At 39.4% G+C, this 16799-nt stretch overlaps 1 protein-coding gene across 9 annotated transcripts in view, besides 1 other annotated feature; it reads right to left on the minus strand.

Annotated features, from left to right (window-relative positions):
- The window catches only part of FYN (FYN proto-oncogene, Src family tyrosine kinase), a 213121-nt gene that overhangs the window by 151060 nt on the left and 45262 nt on the right, over positions 1-16799 (minus strand). Inside the window, exon 1 of one of the 9 annotated variants that reach the window (XM_047418562.1) lies at positions 7224-7953. The exons of 7 other annotated variants lie outside the window; for them this stretch is intronic. The gene's annotated coding sequence lies outside the window, so the exon portion shown is untranslated. Of the gene's footprint in view, positions 1-2500; positions 7954-16799 lie in introns of those variants that run through there. One more of the 9 variants, XM_047418566.1, reaches the window with a different exon arrangement.
- Positions 775-1069: a silencer, noted in NCBI's record as "tiled region #9187; HepG2 Repressive non-DNase unmatched - State 23:Low, and K562 Repressive non-DNase unmatched - State 24:Quies". NCBI's record gives its function as "represses a minimal TATA promoter and a strong SV40 promoter by Sharpr-MPRA in HepG2 and K562 cells {active_cell/tissue: HepG2 | K562}" and the evidence as "EXISTENCE:reporter gene assay evidence [ECO:0000049][PMID:27701403]".

Raw genomic sequence — 16799 nt, forward strand, 5'->3', positions numbered from 1 at the left:
TAAATGTAAGTACTGCAAACACTGGACAATGTGGGTCAAATGGCTTCTGTGTTCCTTATTCTAACTGAATCCAGTTTCACAAATAGACTTGTTTGAAGACAAAGGGCAGAATGTAGTTTTATATTTCATGATCTCTCAAAGCACATCTGCACATTTTTGGGTGACTGCCCCACCCTTATCCCCTTCTCTGGGAATCTGTTCCAACCTTACTTGACCTTACATATGATGAGGGTAGGGGTGACCTTACATATGATGGGGCAGGGGTGAACAACTGATGCAAGGGAGGCTCATCCCTATACTGGCTAGGAACCTACAAGTTGTAGCCTGGTTTAAAAAGATAAGTTAAACTAATTAGATCGTTCTGCCAGGAATTTGGAGTTCGAAAATGAAGAAGGTATTGCTAGTCAGCTGTGGGTTGCTAAACTGTCAGATTATATAGATTAGACGTGGGCACTGCAGCGCCTATTGTGGGCCAAGGACAAGCAGAGGGAGCTGGTCTACAGATCTGGAAGAACGGGACTCTCCAGGCATCACAGGTATAGCCTTGAAACTGCAGCACAAAGGAAGAAACAAATGTACTGGCTCCAAGGGACCACGTCCTAGGACCCTCTGCACCCCAGGACCCAGTTTAAAGTGTAGACAGTGCTCAAAACACTTACATGGAACTGTAGGGAACTGAATTTGGCCCAAGGGTAGCCTTGTAAAGAGCCTTGTACATCCTTGGAGGTAGAAGGAAGTCAGACAGACATAGAGCTAAACTGGCTTAAGTGAAAAACAGAGAGCAACTGCTATCAGCTCTGCATCTAAGTGAATGAGGGCACTCGGAAGAACAGGGCTGTGGCTGGGCAGGAGTGGGGGTGACAAGGCCTCTGGGAGGAGGCAGGGCAGATGGCGATGCTTCAGGGGAGTGTAGCAGAAATGCCCATGGCAAAACCTCGGGACTCTTTCATCTAAATGGATGTGTTAATGGCTCCCAGGGAGTGGGTTTAAGAGGGCTTAGCGCATATGCCTTCGTCTACTCTACTGGCTGTAAATAACCCATGTTCTTGTCTGTACCATCTGCTTGGTGTGCACTTTGTGGAACTGTGTGAAGAAAAAAAGTTTGGGGAGAAATGGCTAGAAATACTTTAGTTGTATACTTAGAAACCAAATATGCTTACACAGCTAAATTATCACTCTTCCTTTATGGAGGTAATTAAATCAGAAATTTTCCTTTTTTTTTTTTTTTTTTTTTTTTTTTAAGGGAGGGAGGTTGGACAGGAGGAGGCTATAAAGCTTCCTGAAGGTCAAAGAGCAGGTCATGGGCACAGAATGAGGCCAGAGACAAGTCTCCTACCACCAGTGTTAATCTTGAGTTAGTCACATTTAACCAGCCTCAACTGCAAATTCTTCGTCTATAAAGGGGTGTGTCACTCACCTTCCTCAGAGTAGTGTTTTGAGAATTGACTAATATCTAAAGCATGAAATTCTTTAGATAAAAGACATCATGAACATACTAAATATTTTTATGGAAAGAGTCATGCCCTCTGTGAAGTGCCAAGTAGATATTATACACGATTGTTGCCCTCATGTACACATTGAAATCGCCTCACTCATCTTTCTAGTTCCTCAAAATTATACAAACAATATAATTACTTAATTCATTAAACAACTATTGAATGAGCATTTACTATGCTATTTACTTCTAATTTTAAACCTACAAGTGCAATTGTGTTGTAAAATCATGGACTTACTGTCTTGCAAGTAATTTCTAAAATACAAAGTTGGATTTGTTTTCAAAGTTAAATAACTGATATTTTCCCTCTGCTAGATTTGCGATTATCTGTAGTTTGGTGATTTTTGAAAGAGTTCAAAGAACTTCCCCATCCAACCCAGTTGAACTTTACCAAGGCCTACCACAGCAGCAATTTAAGAAAGATATACTCACCACCAGAGAACCCAACACCTTCAGGAAGACTCTACAAAACACAGCATGAGTAAATGACTCATGAAATGCAAACTTGAGAGAATAATCATACTGCACTAGCCTCATTTACAAACTATATCTCATCTTGACAATATTCCCAGAAAGAATGTAGGTCAAATCCCAATAAATGAAATCCCAGTGTTTCTCAAATACTTTTTATGGCCTTCAACTTTCACTTTATTGGAATTTGCTTGGAAGAAAGAGGTATTGAGTGCTGTGGTTAAGAGCTAGCATGCAGGACTCTAACAGACTCCACACCATAATGAGAAGTTGCAGACTTAAATCAGCTACTTTACCTCTCTAGGCCTCAGTTTTGCTATCTACAAAATGGAGATAATAATGACCCCTATTTCACAGGATCTCCAAAAAGCAGCAGTGAATACTGAAGGTCTTAGCAGTGCTAGAGGAATGTTAGCTATTAATGGAGATGTTCACTATGTGGTAAGAGGATGTGCGTGGATGCCAGAGTGTCCTCAAAGAGATGTGAGTTGAAACTTGCAAGTGGGTTGAGGACGGGTGGGGAGCCCTTGCTACCTCTAAGTTCCCGTGGCTCTGACGCCCTTGCCAGACAGAAGGCACAGAAGTATCAAGAAACCCGAGGGAGATGGATCTTCCTTCAGATCTGTCCCAGCATGACATGAGCTGAAGTACAAGAGTTCAGGCCGCCCTGGAACCAGCACTAGCAAATCTTAATTTCTCACTGTGTCCCAGCGCCAGAGTGCCTCACTGCTGTCTTGACTTATGTTCACTCTGTAAAGAGAAAGCACATTTGCTCTGGAGGAGTTGAAAAGCTACAGGGAAAAATCCCATGCCAACAATCGACTTCAAACAGTATTCCTATTCAACATTTTAGAAATAGGTCAAAATGATGGGGAGAAAACAAAACCTAACATTTGGGGAAACTTTCAGAATTGGCTCTGGTTTTATGAGTTGTTATAATTCTAAAGACAAAAGTGGGGAGGAAAACAATAAAGCCAAACGATAAAGCCATTTTCATTGATGAGGTCCCATATTCTCACCCAAAACAAAACAAAGCAAAATCTGAAACATAAAAAGATTTTTTTTCACTGCAAGCTTCTGGAATTTCCTAGAAGAATAAAGAAATAATTAAAGTTCTAAATTAAATACAGGTAAAATTTGATCTATGCTAATGAAAAGTTGGAAATAATGAAGAATCTGAAATGGAAAAAAATTCTGCAAAAAATTTTATATACATAGTATAGAATAATATATACTGTTAGAATTAAGAAAATATTATATAAACCTAAATTATGAATTTCACCCAGTGGCAAAGATATTTTCAAGGATCAATGCCAAACACAATACATATTTTAAAAATATCTATTTGGTCTGAGCCTTCAAAACAACTCCATACTTGTTCTATAACAAAAAGTGGGAGATGGCAATAAAATAAAAATAATTAATTTTCCATTAAAATGAATTCACATGGAAGTTCTACTCTATATGGGGCAGAAATGCAAGCAAGGATTTGACTGTTGAACACGTATGCATGAGTGCAGCGAACAGGTATGTTCTCAACTTTTAAAAAAATTGTAAAATGTAATTCCTGGATAATCTCAAATAGGCAAGGCAGGTAAGCTGGTGAATTCACAGTTCTGCATGTGTGTATGTACACAGGTGTGCTTTAAAAAGATTTCCTAATAGACTTCTTTGAAGAGCTGGCTTCCCTCAAAACAAATTTAATATAGGAAAATTTAATTTTGACAGTATTCAATAACAGAACTAGCTCATGAAATCCAGCTCAATCACACTGGATGAGAGCTGGAGAGCTGAGAAAGGTTCAGAGCAGACACCTATTCAGGCAGTTCATATTCGGTCAGCCCAGCAACACCTCCATGTTCTCCAGGAGTAGAAGCAGCAGGAAATGGCTACAGCTGCAGCCTCCTGCAGCCTGTAAACTGTTTAAACATCTTCCCAAATAACAGAGAAAATGGTCATATTATTTCTGATTGCATAACAAGCAGGAGATTTGAACAATGAATTAGGAGGAACTGAAATGTTTGTAGTTTTAATTGTCTAAAATGTCTTTCAATTATACTTAATTTTCATTCCAATAAAAATTTATTACAAATAAATAGCAACACAAACAAAATCCCCCATTAAACCAGCATAAAAAAAATCTAGGTAACTACTCCCTCTCTTTGTTAATAACTAAGTATACACATTTGCTGAGATTCAAAATGCTGTACAGTCTTAGTATGGTTCCATTTTTGTAAAATATATAACTAGAGGAAAAAAATACTAGAATAAAATATTCCAAAGGCCAGAGACATTGGTCATCTTTGAGTAGCGGAACTTCAGTAAAGGAGTTCTATCCTGTTCTCTGAGTACTTCTTTTTTTTTTTTTTTCTTTTTTTTGAGACAGAGTCTCTCTCTGTTGCCCAGGCTGGACTGCAGTGGTGTGATCATCGCTCATTGCAGCCTCAACCTGGGTTTCAAACAATCCTCCCACCTCAGCCTCACAGCTGAGACTACAGGTATGTGCTAATTTTTGTAGTTTTTGTAGAGACGGGGTTTTGCCATGCTGCCCAGCTTGGTCTTGAACTCCTAAGCTCAAGCAATCCACCTGCCTCAGCCTCCCAAAGTGCTGGGATAACAAGTGTGAGCCACCATGCCTGGCATATCTGTCTTGTTCAGCTACTGCTGAATTTCACTTGTGGCCAGAAAATAAACAGTATTTTTTAAAAATTTAAATGCTACATAGCTAGGTGATAAGCTAAATGGAGACCATATATTTTTAGGCATTTACCTTTATGATTTTTTTTAAGTACTCCTTAAATGCCTCTTTGTTCTTTCATGTTTTCAAAAATATGGCATCTATTGAAAACAAAAGGCAATTAATCAAGTCATACAAATTTAAACATATTTAACTCAAAGGGTTATCTTTGAGTTAAATATATCTTTGAATTAAATAAGTCTTCCTTATGACATACTAACAACTAGAGCAAAAGCTCTGATAATAGTTACACGATGCTAAAACCAACTAGATTTAAGTCAGTAGTAATATTTATACAATATCCTTTCAGTGAGGATTCAGTTCCCTGAAATAGACAACCTCTCACTGATTCTAACCTGACCCTGAAGAAGAAAATAAAAAAAGATCTTCCTTTTTAAGAGAAATAAAATTAAGACTCAAAGAAAAGTGTACTCCATAGATCATAAGGAGGTCACAATTTCTTAGTAGTTAAAACTCCCATTCCAAGCACACTAAAAAATCAAAGAAATATAAGTTAAAATTGCAGAGTATCATTTTTCACGTATCAAGTTTGCAAAGATGATGACCAATAAAAACTATTATCATGAGAATATGGAGTAACTGGCATCATCTGACACTTCCAGTAAAGAATGTTTAGGCAATAAATACAGATCAAACTTCAAAATGTGCCAACTCCTTGACCAGACAATTCTCTTAGGAACTTATTCTAAGGAGAAAATAAAGTATTCAAAGACATGTTGCAGTATTGGATGTTCAATGCAGTGTTGCTTCTAACAGAAAAATCAGCAATAACCTAAATATCCACTGAGAGAGGAGTTTGCTGCTGCATCCCCAGAATTTAGCACAGTGTCTGCTACATAGTAAGACTGAAAATAAATATTTGATGAATGAATGTCACCATGAATAAATTAACAGGATATACATGTATAACTGAATTTTATGCAGGCATTAAAATTTTGATGTAAAATTATATTCAACAACATAGAAAGGAGTGATTAAAATAGATTATAGATTATAGATTAGCTTATAGAGTACAATCCCAATTACATGAAATCATATATTTCTACCTGTGTATACAGGTGGGATTTGGATAATTTTCACCTTTTTCTATATATTTTTCTGTATTTTTGTTTTTTTAAAAAAACATAGCAACCACATATTTTCTATTTGGTTGAGGGAAGTCCTATTCTTTAAATTTTTATCCCAACCACTCAAGCTATAGAAGTATTATTAAGTAACAGATAACATTCACAGGGTAAAATTTAAGACAATTTCTTTCCCCTTGATTTCTCAAGTACTATCGTACTAAAAGTCCTCTTTTCTGTAAGTTACTCCTATAATATGGCCAAAACTAAACGAATACATGGTGTATCCGTTTTAAAGCAGGTGCAATAAATGCCCTCGTAGCTATCCCACTGAAAAAAGAATCTCCATGCATGCTATTTCACTGGTTTGACTTTCTCTGTCCACAGCCCTTCTGAACCCAGCCTTGTTAACTTTCTGGCAAACCCTCATGGCCCAAGGATGCTCTCCTGGACTCTGTGTGCATCCAAGTGCATTCATCATCAATGGACTCCATCTGTCGGCTCCTCACACAAAGACCTCAAGTTATTTGGCGAAGATACATTGCTTTCCTTAAATGCTGGATTGAGTTTAAAAGTAGACAGCTTGTGTCAATAACAAATGGTTTCTGGTAATTATTGTTTTCAATCCAGGATAAAATATAAGTATCCCTAATAAACAAATGACAAAGTGTCTCTCTTTGGATTCCAACAAGAGCAGCGTGATTCCTCCACTGGGGCACTGTCTGGTTACAACAGTGCCTGGCTGTGATTCTGGTCAGCCTCTGAAAGCAAGAGTCAGGGCCAACAAATGCTCCATCTATGCACATGTGCCCTGAAGAATCAGCCAACTGTGAGAATGGCAAAGAGCACACAGATGACCTGATGACTGACAGCCTCTTCCTTTGGATGCCATTTATGTGAATTCCAGAAATCTGCTGACAGTTATCTCATGCCATGCCAATGCAAGGGTTCACCACGCTAAGAATAAGCTATATATTTTGGTCTTGCAGTATTTACCCCCAAATAATCCTGCACAGAAATGGCAAGGTGAAAGGCTGAGAGAAACGAAGAGGGACCACTGGGAGAAAACATACACATCTACCACTTCCCTTCATGCAATTCCTGGGTGCAATATCAATCCAGGTGGGCGCTGAGCACAGCAGCAGCACACACCCAACACACAAAGCATTTATAAATACCTCAGGTATGAGGGTGGCTGGCTTGATCTGATCAAGCTGATTATGGACTTAATGTAAATACTCTTTTTAAAAAAAGGCATATATATGAAGACAACCCTATGGGCATGAGCTCTGAGTTATGTTTTCAGTGGTAATGATCACACGTGTTTGATGTTGGTACCACTAATTTGCAAGATGCTTGGCCAGCCTGGTGGACTGTGCTGTTCAACGCCCACAGCCCATCCCAGGGGCCCAGCTCCCTCCATGGTAATGAGTACCTGGTCTGTTGCCTTGCTGCTGCCACTGCTGACTAGCTTTCTCCGATGCTGCTGTCATGTGCTTCTACCCAAAGCTGTCTGCCTTTGAGCCACAGCTATTTCCTGAGGGATGTAAAATTCAACAAACTGCAAATAAACAACACAGAACATGATCTCATGCTGTCATGCTGCTGCTTCTCTAAATTGTAACATCGTAGCAGCTCCTTGATTTACAAGCATCATTTGACCCTCACATTTCTCTTTTGGTTACTTCTCCTCTTGAGTCCATCAGCTTCCTCCATTGCCTAACTATGTGTCTCTTGGACCATCCGGCTATGCTTCACCCCATTCAGACTTGGTGGCTCTCAAGCTCACCAAGCTGCAAAACGTGTTCTTGCAAAGTTCACCAGCAACCTCTAAACTTCACTGTTCTCATCCCCCAGGACCTGACATTTAACACTGTCAGCAGCTCTCCTCACTAGTCTTGGCTAGGTTTGATCATCTTTTCTCACCCAAACTGCCTCTTTCCATTCCCTATTTTGGTTGGGTGCACAGAAACCCAGAGTGAGTTGTCTCCTTCTCTTCTCTCCCCTTAATCCCCTACATCCAGATGCAGCTTGCCATCAGCAATCCTGGAGATTCAGTCTTCAAAAAGCCTTGTGATTTTCATTAAGATTTAGTGCAGATAAAATAAAACAACATTCCCAAAAGGAGTCTGTAAACTACAGTACATCTACAAATACAAGGTATCAGTACGGGCAGAATCATTTTATTCCTTTTCTGTTCCTTGCTGAAGTCATTCAAATTCTTATTCCAACATTTAAATCCTTCCATAATATGAACTCACTTTAAGTCTCCAACTAAATCTTGGATTATTGTTTTACGACAGTCCCTGAAATAGAATATTCTTTCCTCTCTGAACCTGTCTTTAAAACATAGTACTTGAACTGCCTTCCCCGAGACCATGACCCATATTAAATTGAGTTTCAGCCACTCCATTAACCCCTTAGGCAGATTTTTAATTAGTTTTACAGACGCATAGACTGTAAAGGTCTTTGTGTAGTTTCTACTTTCCTGTTTCTTTACTACTTACTTTGTGTTTGTTTACATGTTTTTCAAATTTGTGCAGGCAGGGATCATGGCTTGATATGGACTGTTAGTGACCAACTGACTTCAGCTCATTACTGTTCATAAATTAGTCTCATCTCCCCCACTTTAAAAAAAATACCCAAATAAATTTAAAAAATATTATTCTCAAACACTCACCCTTGGTGTCTCATGCAGAGGGTCTGGCGATAAGACAGTTATTAAGAATATTTAAAAGTTTCATTTCAACTCAAGAATGAGAAACTCATCCATCCCTGACAAAAACAGCTTAAGAATAAATTCCAAATACCCAAGTGTTATTTTCTTCACTCCACAAACCCGGGAACATTACAGGACCATGACACAAGTTTGGATGACATCCTATGGCTATCAGATGATAGATGTTTTCATTGGTTTCTCCTTAAATCAGGGCTGTGAACAGTCCATGATACTGAATGGGAACCCTTAGCAAGACAGCTCAAATTGTATCTGACAAGGCTCACTTCATAAACCTCAACTATTTTCCTAATGAAGAGATGCTGTGTTAAGGCAATTCTCTTTATATAACCATTATGCATTTATATTCCCTTTAAAGATAAATGATATTTTTATGAAGAATGAATTGCATACAAAATACTGTCTTAGTGAGATGCCAAAATACACACCCATTCAAAATATACAAAACAGAAACAACTAGCCAATATTTCTCCTAACCAAAATAAATGGTGTGCAGAATTCTCTTTTGAATAGTATGGTGATCTTAATGACAAAAGCAAAATTAATATATTACTATTAGGAAATAACCTGAGAAATAGATTAACTGTACCTTATAAAAATTATACTAATATGTTTACTACAGCGCTTAGGATATTTACGTTTGAATTTAAATTATGATATAATTTAGTATTCTCTGCATAATATAAATTAGGATGATCTAACTGAATGTGCAAAAATGCCAACATTCATTCATTCACTCACTGAATTTACAGGTACGTATAGACAAGGGAACATGAAAAGACACTATTATTACCAGCTCAGAGTCTTAGGAAAAACAGATGCATAATTATAAAAAAAAATGATATAAGCACTGGAATTATTCAAAATGCTATGCTGGGAAATACCAACATTTAAGTAGCTGGTAGATCATAAAACAGGTAAGGTAGACATCTATTTATGCAGACCAGGGTCAGTAGCAGTAGCTATAAAACGATCCTATTTATGTTAAACAACAACAAACAACTAGGTTACATGGAAAAGGGTCAGGAAAAGACAACTATCCAGGGGTTAACCATGACTAATTAACTCTGAGAAGCAGAGTGGGAAGGAGGATAATTTTTTTTAAAAAAGACTTTACATACCTCTGTACTGTCTGAATTTTAAAAACATAACCTGAAAGTTCATGTAATACTTGATAAAGGGATCATAGTTATCTTCACAGAATTGGAAAAAACTACTTTAAAGTTCATATGGAACCAAAAAAGAGCCCGCATTGCCAAGTCAATCCTAAGCCAAAAGAACAAAGCTGGAGGCATCACACTACCTGACTTCAAACTATACTACAAGGCTACAGTAACCAAAACAGCATGGTACTGGTACCAAAACAGAGATATAGACCAATGGAACACAACAGAGCCCTCAGAAATAATACCACACATCTACAACCATCTGATCTTTGACAAACCTGACAAAAACAAGAAATTGGGAAAGGATTCCCTATTTAATAAATGGTGCTGGGAAAACTGGCTAGCCATATGTAGAGAGCTGAAACTGGATCCTTTCCTTACACCTTATACAAAAATTAATTCAAGATGGATTAAAGACTTACATGTTAGACCTAAAACCATAAAAACCCTAGAAGAAAACCTAGGCAATACCATTCAGGATACAGGCATGGGTAATGACTTCATGTCTAAAACACCAAAAGCCATGGCAACAAAAGCCAAAATTGACAAATGGGATCTAATTAAACTAAAGAGCTTCTGCACAGCAAAAGAAACTACCATCAGAGTGAACGGGCAACCTACAGAATGGGAGAAAATTTTTGCAATCTACTCATCTGAAAAAGGGCTAATATCCAGAATCTACAAAGAACTCAAACAAATTTACAAGAAAAAAAAACCCCATCAACAAGTGGGCGAAGGATATGAACAGACACTTCTCAAAAGAAGACATTTCTGCAGCCAACAGACACATGAAAAAATGATCATCATCACTGGCCATCAGAGAAATGCAAATCAAAACCACAATGAGATACCATCTCACACCAGTCAGAATGGTGATCATTAAAAAATCAGGAAAGAACAGGTGCTGGAGAGAATGTGGAGAAATAGGAACACTTTTACACTGTTGGTGGGACTGTAAACTAGTTTAACCATTGTGGAAGACACTGTGGTGATTCCTCAAGGATCTAGAACTAGAAATACCATTTGACCCAGCCATCCCATTACTGGGTATATACTCAAAGGATTATAAATCATGCTGCTATAAAGACACATGCACATGTATGTTTATTGTGGCACTATTCACAATAGTAAAGAGTTGGAACCAACCCAAATGTCCATCAATGATAGATTGGATGAAGAAAATGTGGCACATATACACCATGGAATACTATGCAGCCATAAAAAAGGATGAGTTCATGTCCTTTGTAGGGACATGGATGAAGCTGGAAACCATCATTCTCAGCAAACTATCACAAGGACAAAAAACCAAACACCGCATGTTCTCACTTATAGGTGGGAATTGAACAATGAGAACACTTGGACACAGGGCAGGGAACATCACACACCTGGGCCTGTTGTGGGGTGGGGGGAGCGGGGAGGGAAAGCATTAGGAGATATACCTAATGTAAATGATGAGTTAATGGGTGCAGCAAACCAACATGGCACATGTATACATATGTAACAAACCTGCACGTTGTGCACATGTACCCTAGAACTTAAAGTATTATATATATATATAAAATTTAAAAAATAAAGACAGAGACAATAATCTAAAAAATAAATAATAAATTTAAAAAATAAAAAAAGAAAGAAATAAACAGTAGAGGTAGAGGCTGCAAAGCAGACTGAGAGAGATGAGTGAGAAGTAGAAGGAAATGCAAGAGAGAGTAGAGTCAGAGAGGCGAGGGGAGGACAATGTTGAGAGGGAATGCATGTCAACCACACCATCATTGACTGTCAAAGAGGCAGAGGAGCATGAGGACCCAAGAAAGGGCTTGTCACACAAGAGAAAGCTCTAATTTCCACATGGCTGCTACAGTGGAACAGCAGCAGTGGAAATACAACTGCAGCAGGGTAAAAACGGGGTGTAAGGGGATGAGCAGTAGGTGCACATCACATGCCACAGGGCGGCTAACACACAAGTGAGGTGAGCTGGGAGCAAGTGAGATTATGTCCCTCTGTGTCTTTCACGTTACCAGATGGGTACAGAAAAATTCTTGTCAATTTTACAAAAATCTACAGTGCATTTGCAGTGACTAACAGTGATTATGAATGGCAACCAACACTTGTGGCCATAGGCTACAGGTGTGGGGACCCACAGGGAACCGAACGGAGGACCCAGAAACCACCTACAGAGGTGGTCACTACACAGCTCCAGCCCCAGCCGTGGCTGCTGAGAGGCCATGTTGGCCTTGTGCTGCTAGATCATCCTATTTTTAAAGAAAAGCCATAAATCTGCATTTAAAAAAATGTGAAATATCCTGACTTCTAAACACCGGCTCAAATTTTTAGAAAACACTGGACTAGACAAAATATGGGGGCCACCTCAAGCGTTACGGCTTTCTGTAAGCTTGGCATTGAGGAGAAAATGTCAGGCAAAAAATTTTATACTTTTTTCCCCCTTTTATAAAGAATGGAAGCTTTTCACATGTTGCTGAGGGCCAAGATCTAAGGGATAAAAATCATCCCCTCTTACTTTTAAAATATCCAATATTTGAACTAAAAAGGACTCTCTCTGCTTTCCTTTAAGATTCTACACACTCGCAGGCTCTGCTAATAAACATTTAATCCAAGCTCTTGTATCATGCTAACATAACAGATCTCAGCTAACTATTACAAGTGTTAAAATATGTGTCTGGGTGGGAAGCCCAAATTAACTGGTCATTTTGAAAAGGAAGCCATGAGGAAGGACAAAACATTCTCACAGAATATATATAAACACTCACATTGACTTTCAGTTTATCAAATTTCCTGAGGAAAGAAGTTCCCATTTGTAGCTGACGTATATTGTAACAACACACCCAACCATTTCATTAGAATGCTATTTTTAATCAGTTCGGCATACATTATGCCTCAGGAACTGAAAGCAAGGAGTACATAAAGTCATCAGCTGTGGATATAGAATACTCAGAAGTCAAATAACATTTCAAACTGGGCAAATAGCTTAAAAAGCATAGCAACTCTACAAAGGAAAAGTTTCAACTGCTCTTCTGTGAGCACATGGTCTTTAAAAAATCCCCACTGCAAACTTTGGAAAGTTGAAAAACATCTTTTGCAAGATGTGAAGAATGCATTTGGTAATGACTCACTTGTGATAACATCACTGGGTGGGCCACTGCCACAGAATCTATCCTAAGCTCATTTCACTCTGCTCTGGTCTCTTCATAGTCTATTAAGGGGCAACGTGGATGATGGTAAATATTAGTGCCTCTACTTTGAAATGATTTTCCTCCCAAGGTAACTAATACATTCTCAGGCATGTGGAAAAAGAACTCATGCAAAAGCTCCCTGTATACTAGACTTAACTTTCTCCTGAAATTTAGGAGAAAGCCTTGACACCATCATGGATGAGAGAAATCTACACTGCATCTTGTTAACATCAGATGATGTTGTTGCCCATGACTCTGTACCTTTGTCTATCTATAGTACATTTTTCTCTCTTGCATTCTTCGTTTTCAGGTCACATATAGTTCTCCTCTAACTTATCTTTCTGTGCTCACTCTGTCTCATCTATTTTGCTTTACTCTCCCCCAGTCATTACTCTGAATTTCACTTTTTATTTGCTTAGGTTTGGGTTTAGCTATTTTTCTTCTCAGGTCTCTTATGCCTTCTTTCATTTTCAGACCCTGTCCCCTCCACTACTCACTATTCAAATGAACACTAGCTTTCAGCCAAAGTGTTACCAGGTAGCCACAAAATGAGGTCTTGCACACTTTTACTCCTAAGGTTATCTGAATCAAGTTCACAAATTCATAAACTGAACCAATGCATTTGTCAAAAAGAATCTTTATTTTATTCTGGTGATTAAGGAATTGTTTAAAGTTTTCATTACTTCTGAAAACTCCTCTGAGCTCCCATCTCTGAGCATTGCAGGCATTGCCTCAGATGGTCAGGCCTAACATGAGCACTCCACTGGTTGTAAAACCTGCTAGAAGACTGACAGAGTCAGAAAGCCATTGCCTCTGATGCGTAGGAATGGTGGTCCACAGGCCTTGCTGGGATCTTTTTGGACTGCGGGCAGGGAGGCCTGGACAGCTCTCCATGGTCCCGAACAAGACAAACATTCCAGTGCACAAGCCCTTTGTGGGAGGCACCCTCTTTTCCATGTAGCTACTGTACTTTCAAGATCTTAGCTGAAAACCAATTTAATTGCCTTAATATAAACACCAGACAGCGAGTTTTATTAATTTGGCAACTGAAATAACATAGAGCTTCTGGGATTTATACTCTATAGAGGGTAGCAACATAGGAGACAGAGCACAGTTTTGATAACTATACAGACCTGGGCTCAAATCCTAGCATTTTCTCTATCACAGGATACCAGGCAAGTTACTAAGCTTCTCTGACTGTGGTTTTCTCATCAGTAAAATGAAGATCTCAATACCTACCACACAGGATTTCTGTGAGCATTAAATTATATAAGGTAAGATAGAAGAATGCCTAGTGCAGTGCAGACACACATGGTCGTGTGAGGGAATGGAAGTTAGTAACACATATTCCCAGGCTTACTCTTCCCAGCTGCTCATGTGCACTCTGGCTTTGCCTTCCTGGTTCTTCCCTTTGCCCTGACCTGTTTGGGGGAGTTCTGTGATGCAGAATCAGGAGGAAAGGTGGGAGAGCAGGTGGGCCACAGTTAGGAAAGGCTTGGGGGCTCATTTGTAAGGGCTGTAACGTGTGAGGAAAGCTGGAGGGAAAAAGAGGGACTTAAAGAAATATTGCTGTAATTCTATATCCCTCTATGGTATTGAGAAAGACAAGTCAAGATGTGCTATTCTGAAATTACTGTCACTAGATTGTATTTCTTTGACTCATATCATTCTGACACTGGATTGGGTGGGTCTGGATACATTAAGAGTTAGGGCGAGTATTCTATAATTTCATTACTATTTAAGTATACAACCATGGGAGTAGAAGCAGTAGACAAGCAAGAGAAAAGGCGAAGGGAAAACAACTGAGCTGCCAATCTCATTGAAAAAGGAATACAGGGAGGAGTGAAGACGCCAGAGGACTGTCAGGTTCCATTACCCATCCCTGATTCACTGGGATTTCTGTGAGTTGCTAGCATTTCGGTGTTTCAGTTTTTTCCCTTGTGAAATGGCAGGGTGGGAGAGCTACAGCATTATGGCACACTAGTTGGCCTTTTCAGAGCTGGTGTGGAGGTATGTTAGCATCTGGGCCTCCCAACTCTGGCTTTTACTGTTCCTTAAGAAGTACGCGTGTGTGCACTTCTATATATGTGTATATGTGTATGTATGTGTATTTATGCACACACATGAATTCTGGAGCTACCCCTGCACATACCATTAAATCATTTAAAAAGAAAGCCTTCAAAAGGGTAATCTGTTTATCCCTTCTACATTCAAACAAGAATATGCCTGAATCCAAAAACATGACTAATTTCGCTTCCTAAAAAATCTCCAAAGGAGAGATTTATAGCCCCCACTCCCTTAATGACATACTTGATCTTCTAGTAACTCATAATGGAAAAGTTCCTCTTTGTTACATTTTTAAAATTGCACTCTTGCTTGCATTTCCAATTCTCCTTACCACATTATTTTAGTTTTGCATAGGACATATCCCCTTCTAACAATGACAGAATTTACTCATGTATTAATATTTACTGCTTACTGTCTCATCTCTTTTCTCCCAGCTAAAATAAGTGACCTTGTTCACCGATTTAGGCCATGTACCGAAAACAGTGCCTAGCTCATACCAGGGACCCAATAAACATTTGTAATTAGAAGCTGACTTTTTGTTCTGTTTCTTTGATAAAATCACAAACCTACAGAGCTGGAAGGGACCTTAGAAAGGGACCTTTAGAGATGAGAAAATTGAGGCGCTGTGAGGGGAAGCTGCTTGTCTGAAATTTTGCACAGAATTTCCTGAGCCCTTATCAGAGCTCTTTCCAGCTCATCTCAGTGCTTCCACGCAGAACTGTGGTCCTGGAGACAGGGCAAGAGTCGGCCAACGAGAGAGGCTGAATCTCACCTCATTTAGAGCAAGAGAGTCAGAGAGAAGAAGCTGTAACATTTATTTACAGAAAAGTAAAGTCTCATAATAATAATAGTCTATGGATCAGTAGCAGCTTTCATCTAAGGATCTCAGAGAGCTTATGAAATTCTCATCCCACAATGTGAGGTATCATTATCTGTTCTCAGTCAAGTAAATTAAGAAGCTGAGTGTTCTATGGTCTTATTGCAGGCTGGTTCAAAGACTCTTTGGGGCTCTATGTCCTCTCCATAGTTTTTCTCATCCTTAACACCAAGCTGCAACAGCTACAGGAACCTCCCAGTTTACTTTCTTCTAGATGTCCCTAAAACCATTCCGGCTCATGCCCATCTTTAAGCCAGTGTGTAGAGGAACAACACTGGGGATTTGAGGTGTTCAATCATGTAATGCCCCCTTTTGGGTCACCAGCGGCTCAGGCTTCCTGAGCTGGTCCTGGAGAAAAGCTGACCACAGTGACACTGGGGGTATACGACAGCTTTTTGGGGGTAAAAAGAATTATTTTTCTTTCCTCAGTTTACTGCCCATGCCCCCACATACCCTTTCCATCAACTTGGTTGAAAGTTTTACCCACCCACACAATTACAGTGTTCACAATTATTCCTCAGCTATTTAAGAACCACATTAAAGACCAATTAGATTGAGTCAACACAACAAGCCCTGCTGAGGAGCCCATTTAGATTTTGACTAAGGGTACTCTTTCTTCTTGGGGGAGATGGGGGAAACGGTGGATTCTGAAATCTGACACTTCTCATCATAAAGCTTTCCCCAGGCCCCTAACTGCACAGAGGCAGGCAGGCTTGCCCTCCTTACTCTCTTGGCCAGTAAAGATGCTGTCCAACCAGTGCAGTCCAAAACAACCTCAGCACCACAATGGCCGCTTCACTCCGTGTCAAGTTGACAGTGTTGTTCTAGAGTAGCGGAGGAACCCTGGTTACAGTTGACTGTGTACCCTGAGAACTTCCTCCTCTTCTGCAGCTCCTGGGACTGCACTGCTGACCTTGTCCTTGGGCTGGAAACTTAATGGCCAAATTCCCCAGCCAGCATCCTGAGGTTTCTGGCC

Source organism: Homo sapiens, chromosome 6 (genome assembly GCF_000001405.40).
Source record: "Homo sapiens chromosome 6, GRCh38.p14 Primary Assembly".
Lineage (NCBI taxonomy): Eukaryota > Metazoa > Chordata > Mammalia > Primates > Hominidae > Homo > Homo sapiens.